The sequence below is a fragment of the Homo sapiens genome, chromosome 1, assembly GCF_000001405.40.
Source record: "Homo sapiens chromosome 1, GRCh38.p14 Primary Assembly".
NCBI classification, from domain to species: Eukaryota; Metazoa; Chordata; class Mammalia; order Primates; family Hominidae; genus Homo; species Homo sapiens.
The window spans coordinates 144,538,257-144,563,110 of record NC_000001.11 but is presented as its reverse complement, the minus strand read 5'-3'; the positions used below and the strand labels follow the sequence as shown (position 1 = coordinate 144,563,110).

Here is a 24,854-nt window from a genome sequence, read left to right as displayed (position 1 = left end):
GACTGGCCTCTTGAGATGCCTTTTCAGGCTTTTGCATTTCTGACTACTGGATGTCACCATTTGGCCCGCAAATCAACCAGTCCCTTAGCTCCCACCCAGAAGCTGACTCAATGCAGGAGGGCATTTTCCACACCCCTGTGATTTCATCCCCAACAATCAGCACCGCCCAAGCCCTAGCCCCCTCCCCACCAAACTGTCTTTGAAAAAACCCTTACCTCCAAGCCTTCAGTGAGATCGTTTTGAGTAATAACTCCGTCCCCCACATGTCGTGGCTGGCCTGTGTCAATTAAACTCTTTACTGCAATGCCATGGTCTCCATGAATTGATTTTGTATGTACAATGGGCAGGAAGAACCCATCAGGCAGTTGCACCTGCAGGATGGTGCCAGTTCTTTCCACGAAGGCTGGTCAGATACCCAGAAAGTATTTCTCCACTACTACCTGGACGATGTGTCTCTCTGTCAGTCTCCAGGGAATGGGGTCTGAATCAAGTATTTAGTATTCAGCAGTTACTATACCGTCACCTAATCCCTCATTTTCAATATTTTGCCATGCCTTCCAGTGGCCTAACTGGCCACCATGCCACAGAATCTTTACTTTATGCTCTCCAGAGGAGACCTCTCCATTCAATGTTTTGTGATTTGAGCAATGGAATAGAATCTGATACTGGTGGGCTGGGGGAGGTCCCCGGACACTGGTGGGATCTCGACCCCAGCTGTGGTGTCCAGGCTCTTGACACCATCTCGAGAACCAAGTCAAGGATGAGTCAGCAAATAGTGAAAGAAGAGATGTATTGCAAAGCAGAAAGTACACACTCAAGAAAGGGGAGTTCGGGCATACCCGAGAGAGAACAATGGGTTCTGGGGTTTCATCTCAATGGGTTTCTTTAACCAAGGAGTGGAATATTCGTGAAAATTCCTGGGTAAAGGTGATTTCTCGGAACTGTGGTGCCATCCATTTTTACATCACATATTGGTCTCAGAACTGTCATGGCACTGGTGGGTGTGTGATTTAGTATGTTAATAAGTGTATAATGAGGGCCTAGGTAAAACCTACCTCAAATCTAGCACCACATTGGGTCCAGTCAGTCTTAGCCAGCTTGGTCCACACCCTGGTTTTTCAGCGTCTTATCAGCCCATAGCCTCAAGTCATGTAAATCTGCTGCCTAGAATTTGTTACCCTGCGGCCACCCTGTATTATTCCTGCCTCAAATCTACTTGTAAATATTCAAATGGTCTTTGACTTGGGAATTCCAACTTTACTTACTTCACAGTGTTTCCTGCGTTATAATCCAATGTAAGAAAAGATGATCCAGACATTTGTTAAACATCTCAAATAAGATGTATCCCAGGTATTTGTGTCAAATTTGGATTATTTTGGTTTTGTCTTTGCAGAATATAAAAAACTAACGTGAGGTAAACACTAAGGTCTGGAGATGGCTGTGCAAGAGATGACAAAGTCCAACACCACGCTGGAGAGTGTCCAATCATCTCTTCTGGGGCAGCATATTTTTCTACAATACTGAATTTGGAAAACAACAGCAACAACAACAACATCAAAAGCAAACAAATAAACAAACAAAAACCTACAAGATTCATGAAACTGGACAACTGTCTTTATAACATTACCAGTGATAAAACCAGTAAGGAAGGCTGGTTTGCAGTCATCTGAGAAGCCTCTTTCATTTCATAAATATGGTTTCTCTCTGACATTGAACGGCTTCCAATTTCAAGCGGAATGCTACATGACAAGGATAAGGATGTGAAGAGAACCGGTTTCTTTTGTAATCCTAAACGTTCTCGTCTGAGAATTAAAAGCCATTATTTGAAGAACGGTGCCCAGGCTCCAGCTGGCCACTGAAAGGTTGCTCCGCAGCGCAGGCTAAGGACCAGCTTCTTCGGGCGAGAACAGATGCCGGGGCGGGAGGGAAAAAAGGGAGAGACAGACGTCACTTCCCCCTGCCGGCTCCGGCAGCGGGTTGGTAGGCTGAGCGGCAGAAAGGCAGACGGGGACTGGGAAAGGCACTGTCGGTGACATCACGGATAGGGCGACTTCTATGTAGATGAGGCAGCGCAGGGGCTGCTGCTTCCCCACCTGCTGCTTCGCCACGAAGGATTTCCCGTGCCGTGGGAGCGGATTCAGGACCGCTGGTCGGACCTGAGAGTCCCAGCTGTGTGTCAGGGCTAGGAGGGCTGGGGGGGGTGGGGCTGCGCGGGGCAAGTGACCGTGCGTGTAAAGGGTGAAGCGTGTGAGGCTGTGGCGGGGCGGAGGTGCAAGAGCTCATACTTACCTGGCAGGGGAGATACCATGATCACGAATGTGGTTTTCCCAGGGCGAGGCTTATCCATTGCACTCCGGATGTGCTGACCCCTGCGATTTCCCCAAATGTGGGAAACTCGACTGCATAATTTGTGGTAGTGGGGGACTGCGTTCGCGCTTTCCCCTGATTTTTTGTAGTTTAAAGAATAGTCTACACAGCAAGGGTTACTTGTTTTTTTTACTGGCTTGTGTTTTAGTCTTAATCGTTACTCTCACAGTCGAAGGCTGAGAAATAGTAGTAATATGTCGCTTTCTCCCCGCCCCGGGAGAAATAAGAATCGTCGACCTTTACACAAGCTAGCTAGCGCGAAGGCCGCACAGCTCTTCCTTTATCTAGGCGGGGCTGCTTTTTGCAGAGATTTGTCTGCCCATGGTCTGCAGTCTCTTGGGTTCTCAGGGTCTGTGAAAATCTACGTGTTTTTCCCTAGCCCCCAGTCACATTTCACACAGCCTCTGCTTCTAGCTGCAGCCCCCTCAGGAGTCTGTAGGATTTCTGTGCTAGCGGGGAATGTGTTCTCACCTCATAGAGCCGGGTACAAACTATGCAGGCGGGGGCTGTTCTTTGGGATGAAAGCAGGGCCTTTAGGGCTCTTAGCGCGTCCCCGTTGGGTTGTAGACATAACACGCTTACTTTGCGGAGTGGAACGGCTCTCCCGGAGCCCAGGTGTCCTAACGCAATTCATCGAGGCCCGCAGGTCAAAACCGCAGTCTCACCTGTCTTGGCCGAAATGCGCTGCGATCCTCCCTGAAATATAAGGCGGGAAGTTTTATGAGGAGACGGGTCCAGTTTCCCTACTATCTCCTGCCGTTTACATATCTAGTCTTTCTTCAGACTTTATTTAAGCGACAGCTTCTTGTTTGATGTCTCGCTTCCGCATCCCACAGCCATTGCCAGGCAGCTTTCTAGATAGCACCCCGACCCATCCTTCCCACCCCCAAGCAGCCCTTTCCTATTTCTGGCGCCAGTGTCCTCCCCCCTTCCTCTTTCTTCAGGCCCTCGCTTATCACCTTCATGGACAGAAAATACTTAGCTCTCTCTCAACCTGCAGTTTGCACCTGACACGCGTCAGTACCCTGGCAAATTCCTTAATACCCCTTCTCAAATGACACTGTAAATTCATCTTTTTTTTTTTTTTTTTTTTTTTTTTTTTTTTTGACGGAGTCTCGCTCTGTCGCTCAGGCTGGAGTGCAGTGGCACGATCTCGACTCTCTGCAAGCTCAGTCTCCCGGGTTCACGCCATTCTCCTGCCTCAGCCTCCTACCAGTAGCTGGGACTACAGGCGCCGGCCACCACGCCCGGCTAATTTTTTGTATTTTTAGTAGAGACGGGGTTTCACCGCGTTAGCCAGGATGGTCTCGATCTCCTGACCTCGTGAACCCTCCCAAAGTGCTGGGGTTACAGGCGTGAGCCACCGCGCCCGGCAAATTAATCTCTTTTTAACTCCCAGAAGTATCTAATTGGTTTTGTCCCTGCACTACATGAATACTACAGAAGAAAACCCCAGGCCTAGCGATGGCGGATCTGGGCATTGTGCCAGCCTCTCCCAGGGTATGTTTTCTGACCTCACCTACTTCTGATCAACTGAGGTCAGGAGTTCGAGACCAGCCTGACCAACATGGCGAAACTCTGTCTCTGTTAAAAATACAAAACAAAACAAAACAAAACAAAAAAATAGCCAGACGTGGTGGTGTGCGTCTGTAGTCCCAACTACTTGGGAGGCTGAGGCAGGAGAATCGCTTGAACCCGGGAGGCGGAGGTTGCCGTGAGCCGAGATCGTGCCGTTGCACCCCAGCCTGGGCGACAGAGGGAGACTCTCTCTCAAAAACAAAAAATAAAAAACAAAAACAAAACAAACAAAAAACAAAAAAACTAGTCCATCTGAGACATATTATTGGAGACAGTAGAATTCTGCATCCAACAGGCACTTGGTGCAGATCTGAACCCATTGAGCTATTGGCTCATGTTCCCTCTGTTCTATTAAGTATCATGAGCAGAAATTGAGCTCTTTGGCTTTTACCCACTAAGTATGGCTGTAGGACAGGTCTCTCTCTCTCTCCCTCTCTCTCTCTCTCTCTCTCTGTCTCTCTCTCTCTCTCATTTTTGCATCATTATATTGTGCCATCAGTGTGGGTTTTTGGTTTTGATGTTATGAAGTGAATTTCTGGGGACAATCTCTGTTGGGTGGTGTTGACAAGGATCCAGTCCCTGTTTGGTAATACATGACAGCTAAGCTGCTCTGTGAGTCTTTTTTATTGTCTATTTATTGTCCTGAGAATAATGGTATTTCCTGATATTTGAGACTGCAGCAATGATGAGTTGTTCATATCTTGTCTTTCCAATGTTTGTTAAAAATTTTACAGGCCCAATAGTTGTCAATATCTGCAAGAGTGGCATCTCTATTACAAGAGTGATCTTACTACTCAATGTCCCCCTCCCACCCAACTTTGTTCCATAGGAGCTCTTGGCTTTAACAAATTTACTATATCTAAAAGACATCTTAGCACAGGAAGAACACTAAATCTGTAGCATGTAAGGAGCAGTTTTCTTTGATTGGTATATTCAGGTTTCTAACCAGCTGAAAAATTCAAATACATGTCCTTTAAGGATTAAGTTTAAACCACACTACAGAAAGGAGAGAAAAGACTTATATGATCATATGTAAGCAATGGAATCAGCAATATGAGCACTTTTCACAACTATACAAATCAAATTTAATAATCTCCAGAACATTAAGGAAGTTCAGCCCTTAATGAAAATGAATGAAAAGAAATTATTCGCCCACTGTCATATGCCCTGGAAAGAGAATGTCCTGCCGGACTCAAAAGGGTATCACAATATTACTCAGATTTTCAGCAACGAAGGCCCTCTGAGGATTTAATGATGTTAACATTTTCAGTTTATTTCCTTCACTGATAAACATTGTTAATAGATACCATTGCCTCTGTTTTCACCTTAAGTGATGTTACTTAGCACAATTCGTTTCTTTAGAATGCCCCCTAGTTTGGTGGAAGGAATTTTCTTGCTTTATTAATATAGGATATTTTCTCATGAAGCAAACTGGCATACTCTTTCAGTGAAGTGAATAGACAAATTAGGTCTCTAAAATTTTAAAGGAGTCACTGCCCCAATTATCTTAGGAACAATAATAATCACTTATATAAAATTAAAATAAGAAAATTAAGCCAGGTATGGTGGCTCATATCTGCAATCCCAGCACTTTAGGAGGCTGAGGAGGGAGGATCAATTGAGGTTAGGAGTTGGATACCAGCCTGGCAATATAGTGAAACCCCTGTCTCTACAAATTTTTAAGTATTAGCTAATTTTTTAAAGTTGGCCAGGCATGATAATGCATGACTGTAATCTCAGCTACTTGGGAGACTGAGGCAGGCTGCAGTGAACTATGATTGCGCCACTGCCCTCCAGCCTGAGTGACAGAGTGAGACTCCCAACTCAAAAAAAAAAAAAAGAAAGAAAGAAAAGAAAAAGAAAAAGAAAGAAAATTAAGAATTTGTTGAAAATTGTTTTACTACAATGCTAGGCTGCATGTCTTGCACCTGTACTCCCAGCAACTCAACAGGCTGAGGCAGAAGGATTGCTTTAGGCCAGCAGTTGGAGACCAGCCTGGGCAACAGGGCAAGACCCCATCTCTAAAAAAATACAAGGCAAGTTGAGCCAGGAGGATTGCCTGAGCCCAGAAGTTCCAAGCTGGTCAGCTATGATAGCCCCGCTGCACTCAAGCCTGGATAACAGAGCAAGACCCTGCGCCTTATTTTTTATCTTTTTTTTTTTTTTTTTTTTTTACTACTTATGCTTATTTATTTGTTTTTGAGACAGAGTCTTGCTCTGTAGCCCAGGCTAGACTGAAGTGGTGCAATCTCAGCTCACTGCAAGCTCTGCCTCCCAGGTTGAAGCTATTTCCCTGCCTCAGCCTCCAGAGTAGCTGGGATTACAGGCGCATGCCACCACACACAGCTAATTTTTATATTTTTAGTAGAGACGGGGTTTCACCATGTTTGTCAGGCTGGTCTCAAGCTCCTGACCCCAAGTGATGCACCTGTCTTGGCCTCCCAAAGTGCTGGGATTACAGGTGTGAGCCACCTCACCCAGCCTACTTATGCTTGAAATGTGAGGTTTCATTAGGGAGAAATTTTCTGGTTGAATTTCTAACATGAAAAAAATAATAGATTTAGCAGTAGATTAAATTAATGGTCTTGATAGTTTGGTACAATAAAATAAATGGAATGAAGTTGACAGCAGAGAGGAATCTTTGATGCTTTTGAACAATTTAAATAGTGTAAGTATTGTGGGGAAAAGAAAGAGAGATCAGACTGTCACTGTGTCTATGTAGAAAGAAGGAGACATAAGAGACTCCATTTTGTTCTGTACTAAGAAAAATTCTGCCTTGAGATGCTGTTAATCTGTAACCCTACCCCCAACCGTGTGCTCCCTGAAACAAGTGCTGTGTCCACTCAAAGTTAAATGAATTAAGGGCTGTGCAGGATGTGCTTTGTTAAACAGATGCTTGAAGGCAGCATGCTTGTTAAGAGTCATCACCACTCCCTAATCTCAAGTACCCAGAGACATAATACACTGCAGAAGGCCACAGGGACCTCTGCCAAGGAAAGCCAGGTATTGTCCAAGGTTTCTCCCCATGTGATAGTCTGAAATATGGCCTCGCCGGAAGGGAAATACCTGACCGTCTCCCAGCCCGACACCCGTAAAGTGTCTGTGCTGAGGAGGATTAGTAAAAGAGGAAGGCATCTGTCTCCTGCTCATCCCTGGGCAATGGAATGTCTCGGTGTAAAACCCGATTGTATATTCCATCTATTGAGATAGGAGAAAACCCCCTTAGGGCTGGAGGTGGGACATGTGGGCAGCAATACTGCTCTTTCAGGCATTGAGATGTTTCTGTATATGCACATCAAAAGCACAGCACTTTTTTCTTTAGCTTGTTTATGATGCAGAGACATTTGTTCACATGTTTTCCTCCTGACCCTCTCTCCACTATTACCCTATTGTCCTGCCACATCCCCCTCTCCGAGAAACACCCGATAATGATCAATAAATACTAAGGGAACTCAGAGACTGGTGCCGGCGCGGGTCCTCCGTATGCTGAGCGCCGGTTCCCTGGGCTCACTTTTCTTTCTCTATACTTTGTCTCTGTGTCTCTCTCTTTTCTCAAGTCTCTCCTTCCACCCGATGAGAAACGCCCACAAGTATGGAGGGGCAGGCCACCCCTTCATCTATTTAATATGTAAACGATGAAAACGTTCATTACATTATTATTTGCTTATTTATGTATTCATTTTGAAACGGAGTCTCACTCTGTCACCTAGTCTGGAGTGCAGTGGTGCAATCTTGGCTCACTGCAACCTCCGCCTCCTGGGTTCAAGCAATTCTCCAGCCTCAGCCTCCTCAGTAGCTGGGATTACAGGCACACACCACCACGCCCGGTTAATTTTTGTATTTTTAGTAGACACGGGGTTTCACCATGTTGCTCAGGCTGGTCTCGAACTCCTGACCTCGTGATCCGCCCCCTACGGCTTCCCAAAGTGCTGGGATTACAGGCGTGAGCCACCGTACCTGGCCCATTACGTTATTTTTTTTAAAATCAATGTGACTCTTTTGACAAATTAGAATGGCTCAATAATCTTGGTTACGCTGGGCACGGTGGCTCACGCCTGTAATCCCAGCGCTTTGGGAGCCAGAGGTCAGGAGTTCGAGATCAGCCTGGCCAACATGGTGAAACCCTGTCTCTACTAAAAATACAAAAATTAGCCGGGCATGGTGGCGGGCTCCTGTAATCCCAGCTACTCAGGAGGCTGAGGCAGAAGAATTGCTTGAACCTGGGAGGCAGAGGTTGTAGTGAGCCAAGACCGCGCCACTGCACTCCAGCCTGGGCGACAGAGTGAGACTCTGTCTGAAGGAAAAAAAAAAAAGAGAGAGAGAGAGAAATTTGGTTTTAGAACAAGACAAATTAAATGGGAGACTTACTTGCAATGAGACCTAGAAATTTCCAAATTTCTAAATTTCTAAAATTTCTAAAAGAACTGAGAAAATTGCGCCGGGCGCGGTGGCTCAGGCCTGTAATCCCAGCACTTTGGGAGACCGAGGCGGGCGGATCATGAGGTCAAGAGATGGCGATCATCCTGGCCAACATGGTGAAACCCCGTCTCAACTAAAAATACAAAAAATTAGCCGGGCTTGATGGCGGGCTCCTGTAGTCCCAGCTCTCGGGAGCCTGAGGCAGGAAAATTGCTTGAATCCGGGAGGCGGAGGTTGCAGTGAGCCGAGAGCACACCACTGCACTCCCGCCTGCCAATAGAGCCAGACTCCATCTCAAAAAAAAAAAAAAAAAAAAAAAAAAGAACTAAGAAAATTGCCTCCATTGAGGAAGTAAGCTTAAGGAGGTAAACTGACACGTTTTCTGAATTGAGAAATATTGAGGAGGCTTTGTCTCTTTCGCCTCCAACTGCTCCTTCTCCTCCTGCCCCTGCACCTGCATAGTCTTTCTTACCTGAGCCTTCCTGTCCTGCCTTGCCTCTTCTTCCATCACCATCACCTGAGGAAAGTCCCCAGGGCTCTGGCCCCTTCCCTGAAACTTCTGTTCTGACAGCCCCTTTCAAGGTAAAACCCAAACCCACAGGAAGAGGGGAGCCTACCATTGTGTACACCGCTTCACCAAAATGTGAATTAAGAATATTATAGCCGGGCGCGGTGGCTCACGCCTGTAATCCTAGCACTTTGGGAGGCGGAGGCGGGCGGATCACAAGATCAGGGGATGGAGACCATCCTGGCTAACACGGTGAAACCCCATCTCTACTAGAAATACAAAAAATTAGCGGGGCGTGGTGGCGGGCGCCTGTAGTCCCAGCTACTCAGGAGGCTGAGGCAGGAGAATGGCGTTAACCCGGGAGGCGGAGCTTGCAGAGAGCCGAGATCGCGCGACTGCACTCCAGCCTGGGCAACAGAGCAACACTTCATCTCAAAAAAAATAAATAAATAAAAATAAATAAAAAAAAATAAAGGACTTCCCTGATCTAAAGTTAAACACATTTCGTTCTTCTGTTTCTAAAGCAGGCTCCAAGATCCTATAGGCTTTGGCAGAAAATTCGACTTAACTGTCGAAACCTTTGAGCCCAAATATTCTGGCCTTTATCAATTAATTCACATTCTGGTGAAGAAGGCAAGGCCACTAACTGGTTGCAAAAGGCAAATTGGAAGGATTTTCAAGCAGAACATGAAAGGTTCACATTTTAGCCAAATATGTGCATGTTGCCATTCCCCAGGTCCTTCCTAAAAATATAGATTGGAGGATAATTCAGCAATGTACTAAAAAGCCAGACAAATCTGCCTTTGCTTACTTAAAATGGTTTGAGAGCCAGGCGTGGTAGCTCATGCCTGTAATCCCAGCACTTTGGGAGGCTGAAGCGGGTCGATCCCTTGAGGTCAGGAGTTCGAGACCAGCCTGCCAACCTGGTGAAACCCTGTCTCTACTAAAAACACAAAAATTAGCCAGGTGGCTACTCAGGAGGCTGAAGCAAAAGAATCGTTTGAACCCGGGAAGTGGAGGCTACAGTGAGCTGAGATCCTGCCACTGCAATACAGCCTGGGTGACAGAGCGGGACTCTGTCTCAAAAAGAAAAAAATTAGCAGGGTAGTAGAAATATAATGCACACGAGAATGATAATCATGAAGACAATCTGTATTCCAGAATAGTAAGGGAACCTATTCCATTAGGGAGCCAACTGAAAATATAAAATCGCAGTTCACACCCCAGGGTGTGGTGTCACATGCCTGTAGTCCCAGCTACTCGGGAGGATTGGTAAGGAAGTTTGCTTGAATTCATGAGGTCAAGGCAGAAGTAACCCTGATCGTGCCACTGCACTCCAGCCTGGGGGACAGTGAGACCTTGTCTCAAAAACAAACTAAAAAACAAACAAAAACCCCCACAAAACCAGACAACAACAACAAATTGTCTCCTCACTCTGAACTGACAGCGGCAAACAACACTTTGCTATTGGAAAATTGAAAGAAAAACACTCCCTCTTGCTGTCAACCTGCCTTCTTGCCCTAACATTTCTGACCCATGGTTTAAAATGCCCAAAAGCTGATGTACTCAATTTCACTTACCTGTTCTGCACCAGCATTTATTTTTGTGTGGAGGAGATCACCATGCATGGTCCTATAAATGTCTAATGGCATGGAATCATGAAGGGCCGTGTCTTTTAGGATATTTGGATATTTATACACATATACATATATATATATATATCTGAAGAAACCCAACATTACATATATATATGTAAGCGGAATGCTTCATCACAAGGGTAAGGACGTGAAAAAAAAGTTTCTTTTGTCATCCTAAACGTTCTCGTCTGCGAATTAAAGGCCATTATTTGAAGAAGGGTGCCCAGGCTCCAGCTGGTCGCCGAAAGGTTGCTCCGCAATAGAAGCTAAGGACCAGCTTCTTTGGGAGAGAACAGACAAGGGAGCGGGAGAGAAAAAAGGGAGAGACAGACGTCACTTCCCTTTGCCGGCTCAGCAGCGGGTTGGTCGGCTGAGTTGGCGGAGGTTGGGGTGGAAGAGCAGACGGGGACTGGGAAAGGCACTGTCGGTGACATCACGGATAGGGCGACTTCTATGTAGATGAGGCAGCGCAGAGGCTGCGCTTCGCCACATGCTGCTTCGCCACGAAGGAGTTCCCGTGCCGTGGGAGCGGGTTCAGGACCGCTGGTCGGACCTGAGAGTCCCAGCTGTGTGTCAGGGCTAGGAGGGCTCGCGGGTGCGCGGGGAAGTGACCGTGCGTGTAAAGGGTGAGGCGTACGGGGCGGAGGTGCAGGAGCTCATATTTACTTGGCAGGGGAGATAACGTGACCACGAAGGTGGTTTTCCCAGGGCTGAGGCTTATTCATTGTACTCCGGATGTGCTGACCCCTGCGATTTCCCCAAATGTGGGAAACTCGACTGCATAATTTGTGGTAGTGGGGGGCTGTGTCCGTGCTTTTCCCTGATTTCTTTTTTTCTGGTTTCAAAAATAGACCGTACGCTCCTTGTTACTGCTTTCTTTCATTGGTTTGTGTTTTTTGTGGTGCCCTTAAGTGTTACTGTTACAGTCAGAAGCCTGCAAAATAGGAAGTGGCATGTCGCTGTCTTTCTCGCTGGAGAAGTAAGGAGTGTCAGCCGGTTTATCCTAGGCTAACCAGCGCGAAGACTGCATAGCTCTTCCCTTTGAACATAAGGCTGCTTATTGCAGAAATTGATCCACGGTCTCCAGCGTCTTGGGTTCTCACGCTCTGTGAAGATTTTCGTGTTTTTCTCTAGCTTCCAGAGTCCCCTTTTACACAGCGTCTGCTTCTAACCGCAGCCCCCTCAGGAGTTTGTAGGATTTCTGTGCTAGCGGGGAATGTGTTCTCACCTCACAGAGCCAGGTACAAACTACGCAGACGGGGGCTGTTCTTTGGGATGAAAGCAGGGCCTTTGGGGCTCTTAGTGTCCCCGTTCGTTTGCAGACATAACACGCTTACTTTGTGGAGTGGAACGGCTCTCCCGGAGCCCAGGTGCCCTAACGCAATTCATCGAGGCCCGTAGGTCAGAACCGCAGTCTCACCTGTCTTGGCCGAAATGCGCTGCGGTCCTCCCTGAAACATAAGGCGGGAAGTTTTATGAGGAGACGGGTCCAGTTTCCCTACTATCTCCTGCCGTTTACATATCTAGTCTATCTTCAGACTTTATTTAAGCGACAGCTTCTTGTTTGATGTCTCGCTTCTACATCCTACATCCACTGCCAGGCAGCTTTCTAGATAGCACCCCGACCCATCCTTCCCACCCCCAAGCAGCCCTTTCCTATTTCTGGCGCCAGTGTCCTCCCCCCTTCCTCTTTCTTCAAGACCCCCCTTATCACCTTCATGGACAGAAAATACTTAGCTCTCTCCGAACCTGCAGTTTGCACCTGACACGCGTCAGTACCCTGGAAAATTCCTTAATACCCCTTCTCAAATGGCACTGTAAATTCATCTCTTTTTAACTCCCAGAAGTATCTAATTGGTTTTGTCCCCGCACTACATGAATAGTAGTATTTCAGTACAGAAGAAAACCCCAGGCCTAGCGATGGCCGTTCTGGGCATTTTGCCAGCCTCTCCCAGGGTGCGTTTTCTGACCTCACCTACTTCTGATCAGCTGAGGTCAGGAGTTCGAGACCAGCCTGACCAACATTGCGAAACCCCGTCTGTACTAAAAATACCAAAAAAAAAAAAAAAAAAAAAAAATGCCCAGCGTGGTGGTGTATGTCAGCAAGGCTGTAATCCAAACTACTCAGGAGGCTGAGGCAGGAGAATCTCTTGAACCCAGGAGGCAGAGATTGCAGTGAGCTGAGATCCTGCCACTGCATGCAATACAGCCTGGGCAACAGAGTGAGGCTCTGTCTCAAAAAAAAAAAAAAAAAAGAAAAGAAAAGAAAAAAGAAAAAAAAATTAGCAGGTTAGTAGAAATATAATGCACACGAGAATGGCAACCATGAAGACAATCTGTATTCCAGAATAGTAAGGGAACCTATTCCATTAGGGAGCCAACTGAAAATATAAAATCCCAGTTCACACCCCAGGGTGTGGTGTCACGTGCCTGTAGTCCCAGCTACTCAGGAGGATTAGTAAGGAGGTTTGCTTGAATTCATGAGGTCAAGGCAAAAGTAACCCTGATCGTGCCACTGCACTCCAGCCTGGGGGACAGTGAGACCTTGTCTCAAAAACGAACAAAAAACCCCACAAAACCAAACAACAACAAAAATTTGTCACCTCACTCTGAAATGACAGTGGCAAACATCACTTTGCTATTGGAAAACTGAAAGAGAAACACTCCCTCTTGCTATCAACCTGCCCTCTTGCTCCAACGTGTGTGACCAATGGTTTAAAATGCCCAAAAGCTGATGTACTCAATTTATAGTACACTTACCTGTTCTGCACCAGCATTTATTTTTGTGTGGAGGAGATCACCATGCATGGTCCTATAAATGTCTAATGGCATGGAATGATGAAGGGCAGTGTCTTTAAGATATTTGGAGATATATATATATATATACACATATATACACACACACATATATATAAATATATATATATACACACATATATCTGAAGAAACCCAACATTGGGCGAGTTCCCTCTAACTTTTCTTTTTTTTTTTTTTTTTTTAATTTTTTTTTTTTTTTATTATACTCTAAGTTTTAGGGTACATGTGCACATTGTGCAGGTTAGTTACATATGTATACATGTGCCATGCTGGTGCGCTGCACCCACTAACGTGTCATCTAGCATTAGGTATATCTCCCAATGCTATCCCTCCCCCCTCCCCCGACCCCACCACAGTCCCCAGAGTGTGATATTCCCCTTCCTGTGTCCAAGTGATCTCATTGTTCAATTCCCACCTATGAGTGAGAATATGCGGTGTTTGGTTTTTTGTTCTTGCGATAGTTTACTGAGAATGATGGTTTCCAATTTCATCCATGTCCCTACAAAGGACATGAACTCATCATTTTTTATGGCTGCATAGTATTCCATGGTGTATATGTGCCACATTTTCTTAATCCAGTCTATCATTGTTGGACATTTGGGTTGGTTCCAAGCTACCAATGCCTATGCCTTTCTTCACAGAATTGGAAAAAACTACTTTAAAGTTCATATGGAACCAAAAAAGAGCCCACATCGCCAAGTCAATCCTAAGCCAAAAGAACAAAGCTGGAGGCATCACACTACCTGACTTCAAACTATACTACAAGGCTACAGTAACCAAAACAGCATGGTACTGGTACCAAAACAGAGATATAGATCAATGGAACAGAACAGAGCCCTCAGAAATAATGCCACATATCTACAACTATCTGATCTTTCACAAACCTGAGAAAAACAAGCAATGGGGAAAGGATTCCCTATTTAATAAATGGTGCTGGGAAAACTGGCTAGCCATATGAAGAAAGCTGAAACTGGATCCCTTCCTTACACCTTATACAAAACTCAATTCAAGATGGATTACAGATTTAAACGTTAGGCCCTCTAACTTTTCACTAGGCATGACCACTGCTCTATTTTAGATAGAGATTCAGTGGGGCAAAACCTGAGAATTATCTGCCCGGCTATCAAGAAGATAGCTCCTTGCATTTTTGCGGGGAGAGCACTTTTGCTTCAAGGGAGTGTTTCTTCCTAGGATTATAAATCTTTCTGTAACCTCAGGAAACACTGCTGATGAAAACCAGGCATGGTGGCTCTGGCCTGTAATCCCAGTGACTCGGGGGCTGAGGCAGGAGGATCACTTAAGCCCAGGAGTTGAAGGCTGCAGTGAGCTATGATGGCACCACTGCACTCCAGCCTGGGACACAGAGACAGACGCTGTCTCTGAAAGAAAAAGAAAAAAGAAAGAAAAACATTGCTGATGAAACTGCGGCCTCTTTTGCAGCTCAATAAAAAGCTATTTATTCACTGGCTAAGGTTGTACTAGGTAATCACATCACTTTAGATGATATATTTAGCTGAGCAGGGAGATGTATGTGTGGTGGCAAATACCTTTTGTTGCATATACATAAATGTTTCCCATGCAGTAGAACCTTCTCTAGAAAAAAAATTAGAAAGGAAGCCACTTGGCTACAATAAATCACTAAAGAAGAAATGGTATTTGATGTTTTCCCTGATGTTTTCAGTTGGCTGCCTAATGGAATAGGTTCCCTTACTGTTTCGGGATATAGATTCTCTTTGTGATTATCATTCTTGTGTGCATTATATCTCCACTAGTCAAATTATTAATGTTATGTATTTCTCATTGTTTTCATGGTACTCTGAAGACTAGAGATGATTCAACAAGTGACAGCAACTATAGAATTGGCCGAGATCTCTCTGTCTCCCCCCCCGCCCCCAATTCTGTGATGCCAATTCAGCTTCTGGGCACTGTTAAAAATTCCTTAGTGAGAGGGCTCCTTTCCTCCCCTGCCCCCAGTGTGGGACAGGACTATCTGGGAATGAGCCTTTCTGGCAAGGAGAGATACAGCTTTTGATCAACAATGCTTTCAAGAAAGACTTTTTATCTGGCCGGGCGCGGTGGCTCACGCCTGTAATCCCAGCACTTTGGGAGGCAGAGGCGGGCGGATCATGAGGTCAGGAGATCGAGACCATCCTGGCTAACACAGTGAAACCCCGCCTCTACTAAAAATACAAAAAATTAGCCGGGCGTCGTGGCGGGCGCCTGTAGTCCCAGCTACTCGGGAGGCTGAGGCAGGAGAATGGCGTGAACCCGGGAGGCGGAGCTTGCAGTGAGCCGAGATCCCGCCGACAGAGCGAGACTCCGTCTCAAAAAAAAAAAAAAAAAAAAAAAAGACTTTTTATCTAAAGGGAGAATGAGGAAAGAAGAGAACTTTTATGAGGAGTGTGAGCCTTTCCAAATTCTCAGGCCCAGAGAGGCATTACATTGTGACAGCAACCACATTCTGCTTCCTTTTTGTACAATACTGTATTTGAAAAACAAAAAAACAAACCTACGAGACTCATGAAATTGGACAACATTCTTTATAACACTACTACTGGTAAAACCAGCAAGGATGGCTGGTTTGCAGTCATCTGAGCAGCCTCTCTAGTTTCATAGATATGATTTCTCTCTGATAGTCAAAGGCTTCCAATTTTAAGCAAAATGCTACTTCACAAAGATAAACAGCTTTGAAAGGAAACGGTTTTCTTTGTAATCCTAAATGTTCTAGTCTGCGAATTAAAAGCCACTATTTGAAGACCGGCGCACAGCTTCCAGCTGGCCGCCAGAAGGGTCCTCCGCAGGACACAAGTTAAGTAGTCGCTTCTTTGGGGGATACTAGATGCGGGGTCTGGGCGCACCTCCGGAAAGGACAAGGGCGGGAGGGAGAGGTGGGACAGCAGACGTCACTTCCTCCGTCGGCTCCCCCAGCGGGTTGGTAGGCTGAGTGGCGGAGGGTGGGGCGGAAGAGCAGAAGGAGACTGGGAAAGGCACTGTCGGTGACATCACCGATAGGGCGTTTCTATGTAGATGAGGCAGCGCAGGGGCTGCTGCTTCGCCACGAAGGATTTCCCGCGCTGTAGGAGCAAGTCCAGGACCACTGGCTGGACATGAGAGTCCCAGCTGTGTGTTAGGGCTAGGAGGGCTCGGGGTGGTTGGGGATTGGCTGGAGTGGTGCTGGGGCAAGTGACTGTGCGTTTAAAGGGTGAGGCGTATGGAGCTGTGGCGGGGCGGAGATAGGTGCAATCTTATTTATGTGGCAGGGCAGATATTGTGGTTACTGAAATGGCTTTTAAACCCGACTCAACTATTTCATTTCAAGTGTGCTGTTCTGTCATTTTCTCTAACGTGGGAAGCTCAGCTGCGTAACTTGTAGTAACGAAGCGGAAGTTACAACGAAAAGACAAGTTTTCCTGTGCTTCGCAGGCCCCCCCTCCCCCCCCACCAAGGCCTGCAGTGGATAGAGCCTAGCAGATCCTGGACAATACTATCCTAAAAGCTACATCTCTGACAGTGATTTCCAGCGACTTTGTCAACACGGTCCGCCCCCAGCAAGTATAAGAGGAAAAACAACAAATGTCTTTACTGCCTTGTCTTTCCCCCTTGCCACTTGTCATTATTCAAGTTTTGTAAGTTCCTGATTTCCATTCAGTGCAGCTGCAAGGTTACCAGCTGTGCTTGCGTTGCAAGACCTGTCACAGTTTGATTAACTGCCTTCTTTCTGCTTCTGTAAGCCCTCTTGCCTGCCCCGCGAGTTTCGCACCATCAAATTCCTGCTGCACCATTCAAACTAGCCAACCCCCTTTCAGAAGTGTGTATAAAAGTCAAGCCCCCTGTCTTTCTTCGGGGCTCACGCTAGGCCCGAGTGCACTCAATAAAATCCTTCTGTTCCACCCGTTGGTCTCTTTGTTCTCCTGATTCCCGCAACAGTAGTAGGGGACTGCGTTCGTGCTTTCCCCTGGTCTTTCATGGTATGAATAATAGACAGCATTTGCTTTTTTCATCTATAGTCGCAGGCCCGGTCTCAGTGATTGTATGGTGTGGTCAGCTGTTTTTGTTTTTGTGAGACCTTATTTTCTTGTTTACTGTCCTGGGACAGATGTCTGTAGTCACTTGTTTCCTCAGGAGGCAAATTTCAGTCTCTGTGGGGGAGGTCTCTCATGTTAGCTGTGGTGGTACTTGGCGGGCAGAGCTCAGGGATCTAGGCTTCCCTGCTTTGTAGATTGCTCAGTGGTCCCCAAGGCCTACTGGCTTTTAACACCACTTGAAAACCTTAGTGTTTTTCCATTGTCCCCAGAGTCACCTCTTACAGAGCCTCTTTTTTTTGTTTGTATTTTTCCCTGAGACAGAGTCTCACTGTATCTGGTGGGATCTTGGTTCAAGCGATCCTCCCACCTCAGCCTCTGGAGTAGCACAGGCACGAGCCATCGCAGCCGGCTAATTTCTGTTCTTGTTTTGTTGTTGTTGTTGTTGTTTTGTTTTTTTAAGAGTTGAAGTTTCGCCATGTTGCCCAGGTTGGTCTCCAATTCCTGGACTCAAGTGATCTGCCCTGCCTTGGCCTTCTAAACTGCTGGGATTACACGTATGATCCATCACACCTGGCTAGCCCCTGCTTTTCCCTATAGCATTCATGGGAGTTTGTAGGATTTCTGTGCTGGGGGGAACATGTACTCAGCTCATAGAACCAAGTAGAAATTGTACTTGGAACTGGTGCCATTGGGTTGTAGACATAACACGCTTGCTCTTTGTATGGAAAGGGCTTTGCCAGTGCCCTGGTGCCCCTGCACAGGACATCGAGGCCTGCAGGTCAGAATGGCAGTCTCACCTATGTGTTCGTGTAATACGCAGCAATTCTCCCTGGAATATAAGATGGGAGGTCTTGTGAGGTTCCTACAAGTAAGAAGACACATTTCCCTGAAGTTTGTATTGACGAATTTAAAAACTAATAATAACAGCCCAACCTCCTGGATGGCAAATGTCCTTTACATTGACAGACCGCAACTGCCCTACTTGCCTCAGCTCCTCCGTGCAGATGCAGCCCCTGATTCCCTCCACACAGGTCATTTCCTCTCTGCTTTATCCAAAAGAGGGAGACAGGGGTTCTGCAGGAACCGCTAGGCCTTCAGGCCTTTGCTAGGAGCAAAGTAGGGGGAAATGGTCGCTGGAGCTGGGACCTGGGCACTGGGCCAGGTTGCCCTGCCGGAGGGGAAGTACTCAGGGCTAGAGGGGGCCAAGCACCAAGACCTCAGCATCCTCAACCTCCAAAAGGACTCAGAGAGAGGCAGAAACCGAAACAGGGTTCTTCTTTCAAGGAAGACCCCAGGGCTCTGAACCAAAATCCAGATTTTTCCCCATCTGCAGCTTAATTCCACCTTAGTTGGTGCAACTTCATCCTTCCCCTATGCTCAGGACAAAAAACGGTTCTTCTATAGCCTGGTCATTCTCTGATCCCATACATCCTATTGGTCAGAAAATTATGTTTTTTCTTTGGTTAACTGCAGACTTTGGTCTGCACAATCTTTTTCTTTCTTGGTCTGAAAACCACCCCACAGTCCCATATGTAGCTTTTTTGGATAAACCTAGAAATGGACCCTTCTGGTCTTACAGCTTGAAACTTAATATTTGTTGGCCGGGTGCGGTGGCTCACGCCTGTAATCCCAGCACTTTGGGAGGCCGAGGCGGGTGGATCACGAGGTCAGGAGATCGAGACCATCCTGGCTAACACGGTGAAGCCCCGTCTCTACTAAAAATACAAAAAAGTAGCTGGGTGTGGTGGTGGGTGCCTGTAGCCCCAACTGCTCGGGAGGCTGAGGCAGGAGAATGGCATGAACCTGGGAGGCGGAGGTTGCAGTGAGCCGAGATCGCGCCACTGCACTCCAGCCTGGGCGACAGAGCAAGACTCCGTCTCAAAAAAAAAAAAAAAAAGAAAGAAACTTAGTATTTGTTTTATCTGAGTTCCTTCCTCAGGAAATGACCTTCAGGCCTGTCAAAAAAGCTATCAAAGTACTGAAATTCATCCAGAAAATGAGATGCTGGGACCCCTCATTCATCATGATTGCTTCCTTGCTCCTCCCTAGTTCCTGTTTTCTTACTCATTGTTAACATTTCTTCCCTGCCATCTAAACCTCTGGTTTTGGTTGGTCAGGGAGATGGATTTGAGACTGAGTTCTCATCTCCCCCACTGCAGCACCCTATTAAAGTGCCTTCCTTGGCGATAAGCGTCTCGGTGATTGGCTTTCTGTGCGGCAACCAGCAGGAATCCCAGATCTCTGAATTTTGGCAAAGGAGTCTCGTGATAAAGGTGGGATGGATTCTACTGACCAACATCAAACCGTTCAGACATTTGAAAGCCTTAATCTCAGGGTCGGGGTTTGGGCCGCCCTTGAGCCTTTTCCTTGGGCCTATCCATTAAAATCAGCCTGGCCAGGCCTGTCTTCAAGGTCCAGGGGTAGGGTCAGGTCCTCCCGACGCTTCTTGACGCTTCTCCCGCCGGGTCGGCAGCCACCCTCCCCTTCCCTGTGACCTGCAGAGAAGCTTCAGGGGGCGTTTATTCAATCTGCGAGGAGCCCACGAGGCACAGGCACACGGTGACTCTGGTTCCCACTGCACCCACCGCCCTCCTTGGTCCTCTCGCTCTCTCTGGCAGGCAGTAACGTTCTGGGTGAGCATGGGTGCTGAAGACACCCAGGCAGGAAGGGTAGGGAAGGGCACCAGCCCCTTAGGTCCTGCGCAGTGGGGATCCAAAAAAGGTCTTGAAGAAACAGAAAGGGAGCGTTGGGAGTAGATCAAAGGGAAAGAAAGGAATCCTAGGAGATTTCCTGTCTGAAGGCACCATGAAGAGAAAGTCCGCCTCCTCTGGGCCGGGTCCTCCCGTCGCAGGTGAACCAAGTGCCGGTCTCCATTGGAGACCAAAGCAGATAACTTTGCCCTGACTCCTAGTTAGGAAGCCATGTTTTGTCCTCCCCTGTTTAGCGCTTGATCCTGTAGCACTTGATTGTCTCTCCCGGGCTTTCTATGGATTCCAGGGATGCAACTGAGAAGTTAGTTTTTAATGCACTTTTGCTTGAAGTAAGAGTATTTTAGGCTGGGCAAGGTGGCTCACGCCTGTAATCCCAACACTTTGGGAGGCCAAGGTGGGCAGATTACTTGAGGTCAGGAATTTGAGACCAGCCTGGCCAACATGGTGAAACTCCGTCTCTACTAAAAATACAAAAATTAGCCGCCTGTGTTGGCTCAGGCCTGTAGTCCCAGCTACTCACGAGGCTGAGGCAGGAGAATCCTTTGAACTTGGGAAGTGGAAGTTGCAGTGCGCTGATCTCAAAAAAAAAAAAAAGAAAGTATTTTAGAATCTTTCGGCAAAGGAAATGAATTCTGACAGGTTTTGCACTGAAGACATTCAGATGTGAGGAAAACACGAAAACCACTATGCTAGGGGAAAGCAAATGCTGTTGAGAATGTCTCACAAACACAAATTACACGTCAGCAGGTAGGTTTGACCCTCAGGTTCGGCACATTTTACTTTAAGTGTACTGTTGGTGGAACTTAGGATGAATCTAGAACATTCACGATGTATGTATGTATGTGTGTATATGTATATATATACACACACATATATACATATATATGAGCATATATATACACACATATATATACATACACATGAGCACGTATATATATGTGTATATATATGTGTGTGTATATATATGTGTGTGTATATATATATGTATATATACATATATATATGTGTATGTATATATACATATATATATATGTGTATGTATATATACATATATATATATGTGTATGTATATATACATATATATATATATGTGTATGTATATATATGAGAGACAGAGAGACAGGGTCTTGCTGCCTTGCCCACACTGGTCTCCAACTCTGGGCCTCAAGCGATCCTCCTGTCTCGCCTTCCCAAAGTGCTGGGACTACAGGCGTGCACCACCTTGTCCAGCCCATTTTAATGTTTTTAATTTAAATACACATTCCAAAAATTATATAACAAGTACAAGAAGCCCGCTTTATGCCAGTTTTACAAAAACAAAGTGGCAACATCCTAAAGTACTGAAAGAAATAAAGTTTTCCTAGAATTCTATGCCAAAATGAAAAATCTTTCAAGAATGTGATTGAAATAAGGACATTTAAAGACATACAAAAAAAAAAAAGAAAGAAAGAATTCAGCAACCCACACGACAAGAAATGCAAAGGGAGTCCTCCAGGCCTAAGGATAAGGATACCAGACAGAAAACTGGATCTACACAAAGAAATGGAGACTACTGGAAATCGGTATGTACACAGTTAAATATATATGTTCTTCTTATTTAAATCTTTTAAAATAATTTGACCGATTAAACAAAAGCAATAATAATGGATTGTGGGGTTTATAACATGTCTAAAACCAAATTACATGACAACACCAGCATAATGGCCAGAAGGGGAGGTAGAATGTCACTAGATGGCACTGATAAAGATGTATTCTGGAAACCCTAAAGCCATCACTGAAAAAGCAAAAGCAGAAAAGAAGTCGGAGATGCGGTGGACAAGAAGAAAGAAAGAGTTATAGCTAATAAGCCAACAAAGGGAAGAAGAACATGGAATGATATAAAAACCATGTAATCACTGTGCTGGAGCAACTGCTCTCCAGGCCTCTACCCTATAGAAATACACTAGTGGCCAATGAGAAGTGTACAAGAATGATGACTGCAGCATTGTTTGTAATCATAAAATAATAGAGCCAATGTACTTTCAAAGATATATGAAAAGGGTTTTATTTATTTAACAAACACAAACAATTGTACAAACAAGGGAAGCAAGTCCTTTCGCCAAAAGGAACACAGAGGGTCATGATGATGCTACTCCTCCAGGGATTTCAGGGTTCCCAGACACCCAGTTTTCTGTCTAGTTCTTCTGGAAGATGTTATTCTTGGGGAGTTATAGGTCCTCGCGTTTGGAGCTCTTTCATGTTCTCTCTGAATTTTCCCCTCAGTTCCTCCCCATTCTGCTTCAACAACAACAACAACAACAAAAAACAATTCTCACCTCCAGAAGATCCAGCCTGTGCCTCTGCACGAGCCTTTCAGGAGGTCTGGATGTGTGTTCCACCGCTCCCCGGCTTCTTTCCCCGCTTTTGCTTTTCCCTTCCCTCCTGCCCTCCCGCCCCAGGACCCTACCACTGCTCAGCTGAGCCCCCGCGGCTCCACCGCGCAGAAGGTGCACTGGAGGCCCTGCCCGTTGCCCTCCCCGGGGGATGCCTAGAAATCAACGTGAATAAACGCTTTGAAAAAAGAACTTCCCCATGGAAAAATCTCATGATTTCTATTCTTGGGATTCTTCAAGGGACTAAAAGCTAAAGGCGACGATGGCCCCGGGAGGTCGAGGCTGCAGTGAGCCGTGTTTGCACCACTGCACTCCAGCCTGGGTGACCTAGCGAGACCCTGTCTCAAAAACAAATCAAAACTTCCCCATGGTAAAATATTTCATGATTTCCATTTTCGGGGCTCTTCAAAGGACTAAAAGCTGAAGGTGACGATGGATTAATTCAACAAGTCCTAGTCGTGCGCGCTGGTGAGTGCCAGACCCTGCTCTCCGCGAGGGGACCCACGAGCCACCCTCACCACCATCCCTGCCCTGGTGGAGCCCCCGTGCGGGACACAGGATCCGAAGATGGCAGCGGAAGTTCCGCAGCGGCCTCAAAAGTGACTGGGCAGGGTGGGCACAGGCTGCCTCACTGGGTCAAGGCGGCACAAAGAACCATCGCGGGAGCCCACCGGGCGTTCAGCTTCCCTTGGGCCCCCAGGCGGCTCAGGTCCGGGTCGGGGCCGGGTGTTTCCGGGGGCTTCTGCTGCAGGTGAGGGGCAAGGTCGTCCTGGTTCCAGAATCTCCCAACCTGCGGGTCTCCAATGAGACCAACACGATTCACCCCTCTCATCGCTCCAGTTTTCCAAGGCCTTTCACAGTTGTACTGCCGGGTGGGCTCTGAGGATGGGAGGGTTGGGGAGTGTTTGGTGAGTGCACCCTTCCTATAGCGCCCAGAAGAAGGTACACTACGTGTCTCTGTGGCACAATCGGTTAGCGCGTTTGGCTGTTAATCTAAAGTTTGGTGGTTAGAGCCCACTGAGGGACGCCTGCTCCAGGTGTTTTGTTTTGTTTTGTTTTGTTTTGTTTTTCTTCTTCCCTGAGACACAGTCTTGCTCTTTCGCCAGGCTGGAGTGCAGTGGAGCGATCTTGGCTCACTGCAACCTCGGCCTCCCGGGTTCAAGGGATTCCCCTGCCTCAGCCTCTGGAGTAGCTGGGAATACAGGCGCGCGCCACCCCGCCCAGCTAATGTTTTGTGTTTTAGTAGAAACAGAGGTTTCACCTTGTTGACCAGGAAGGTCTGGATCAGCTGACCTCGTGGTCCGTCCGCCTCGGCCTCCCGAAGTGCTGGGATTACAGGTGTGAGCCACCGCGCCCGGCCGCCTGTTCCAGCTTTTAAAGCGTTCATGCATTATCGATCACTAGATAAACGGGGGAGATTATATCTTCCCAGAGTCCTAAGCCACTCGGGTTGTGTCTCTGTGGCACAATTAGTTGTCGCATCCGAAAGGCCTAGCTAACTTTTGTATTTTTTGTAGAGAAAGGGTTTCATTATGTTGCCCATGGTGGTCCCCAAACTCCTGGGCTCGGGCACCTCCGAGGTCTCCCAAAGTGCTAGGATTACAGGCATGAGCCACTGCACCGGGCCTTATACAATGCTTCTAATTTCAGCACATTTAGCAAACTTATCTTCTGTGGGAAAGGTACCAAATCACATTCCAGTTTATTTCTCAACTCTAATAATGTCTCTTTCTTCATTTACTTGCTGACACAACAAATTTTCTCCCCTCCCCTACTTTTTGTTTTGAGACTAGGTGTCACTCTGTCACCCAAGATGGAGTGCAGTGGCGTGATCTCAGCTCACTGCAAACTCACCGCCCCTGCCACTCTGGCACTAGTGATCCTCCGGAAGAGCTGGAACCACAGGTGTGCACCATCAAATCCAACTTTTTTTTTAGAGATGGGGTCTTGCTCTGTTGCCCAGGTTGCCCCCAGGAGCTCCAACTTCTGGGCTCAAGAGATTTGCCTGCCTTGGCCTCCCAAAGTGCTGGGATTTCAGGTGTGAACCACTGCACCTGGCCTAACAAACTTTCTATACATGTGCCCATGATATTCTTTTCTTTCCTTTTTTTTTTTTTTTTTTTTGAGACACAATCTTGCTCTGTCGCCCAGGCTGGAGTGCAGTGGAGTGATCTCAGCTTACAAGCCTGCACCACCACGCCCGGCTAATTTTTGTATTTTTAGTAGAGACAAGGTTTCATCTTGTTGGCCAGGCTGGTCTCAAACTCCTGAACAGCCTCCCAACGTGCTGGTATTACAGTCATGAGCCACCATGCCCGGCCATGTGCCAATGATATTCTAATATGGGGACAAGTGCCTTTCCGGTTTAAGTAAGGGGGAGGTAAAACAGAAGGACATGGTGGACATTACACACGGATATT

General features: G+C 46.7%; 1 long non-coding RNA gene and 2 other non-coding genes across 3 annotated transcripts; 2 read left to right on the top strand and 1 right to left on the bottom strand.

Annotated features, from left to right (window-relative positions):
* The first annotated feature begins 2,281 nt into the window (after positions 1 to 2,281).
* RNVU1-28 (RNA, variant U1 small nuclear 28) lies at positions 2,282 to 2,445 on the top strand. Its single transcript, NR_189287.1, has one exon. It is a non-coding gene; the product is annotated as an RNA, variant U1 small nuclear 28 (small nuclear RNA).
* LOC105379574 (uncharacterized) lies at positions 2,329 to 10,896 on the bottom strand. The gene is made up of 2 exons (XR_001737761.2): positions 10,453 to 10,896; positions 2,329 to 3,063 (listed from the first exon to the last, which is right to left on the bottom strand). It is a non-coding gene; the product is annotated as an uncharacterized LOC105379574 (long non-coding RNA).
* Positions 10,897 to 11,167: 271 nt separating this feature from the next.
* RNVU1-2A (RNA, variant U1 small nuclear 2A) lies at positions 11,168 to 11,332 on the top strand. Its single transcript, NR_145576.1, has one exon. It is a non-coding gene; the product is annotated as an RNA, variant U1 small nuclear 2A (small nuclear RNA).
* Positions 11,333 to 24,854: the final 13,522 nt, after the last annotated feature.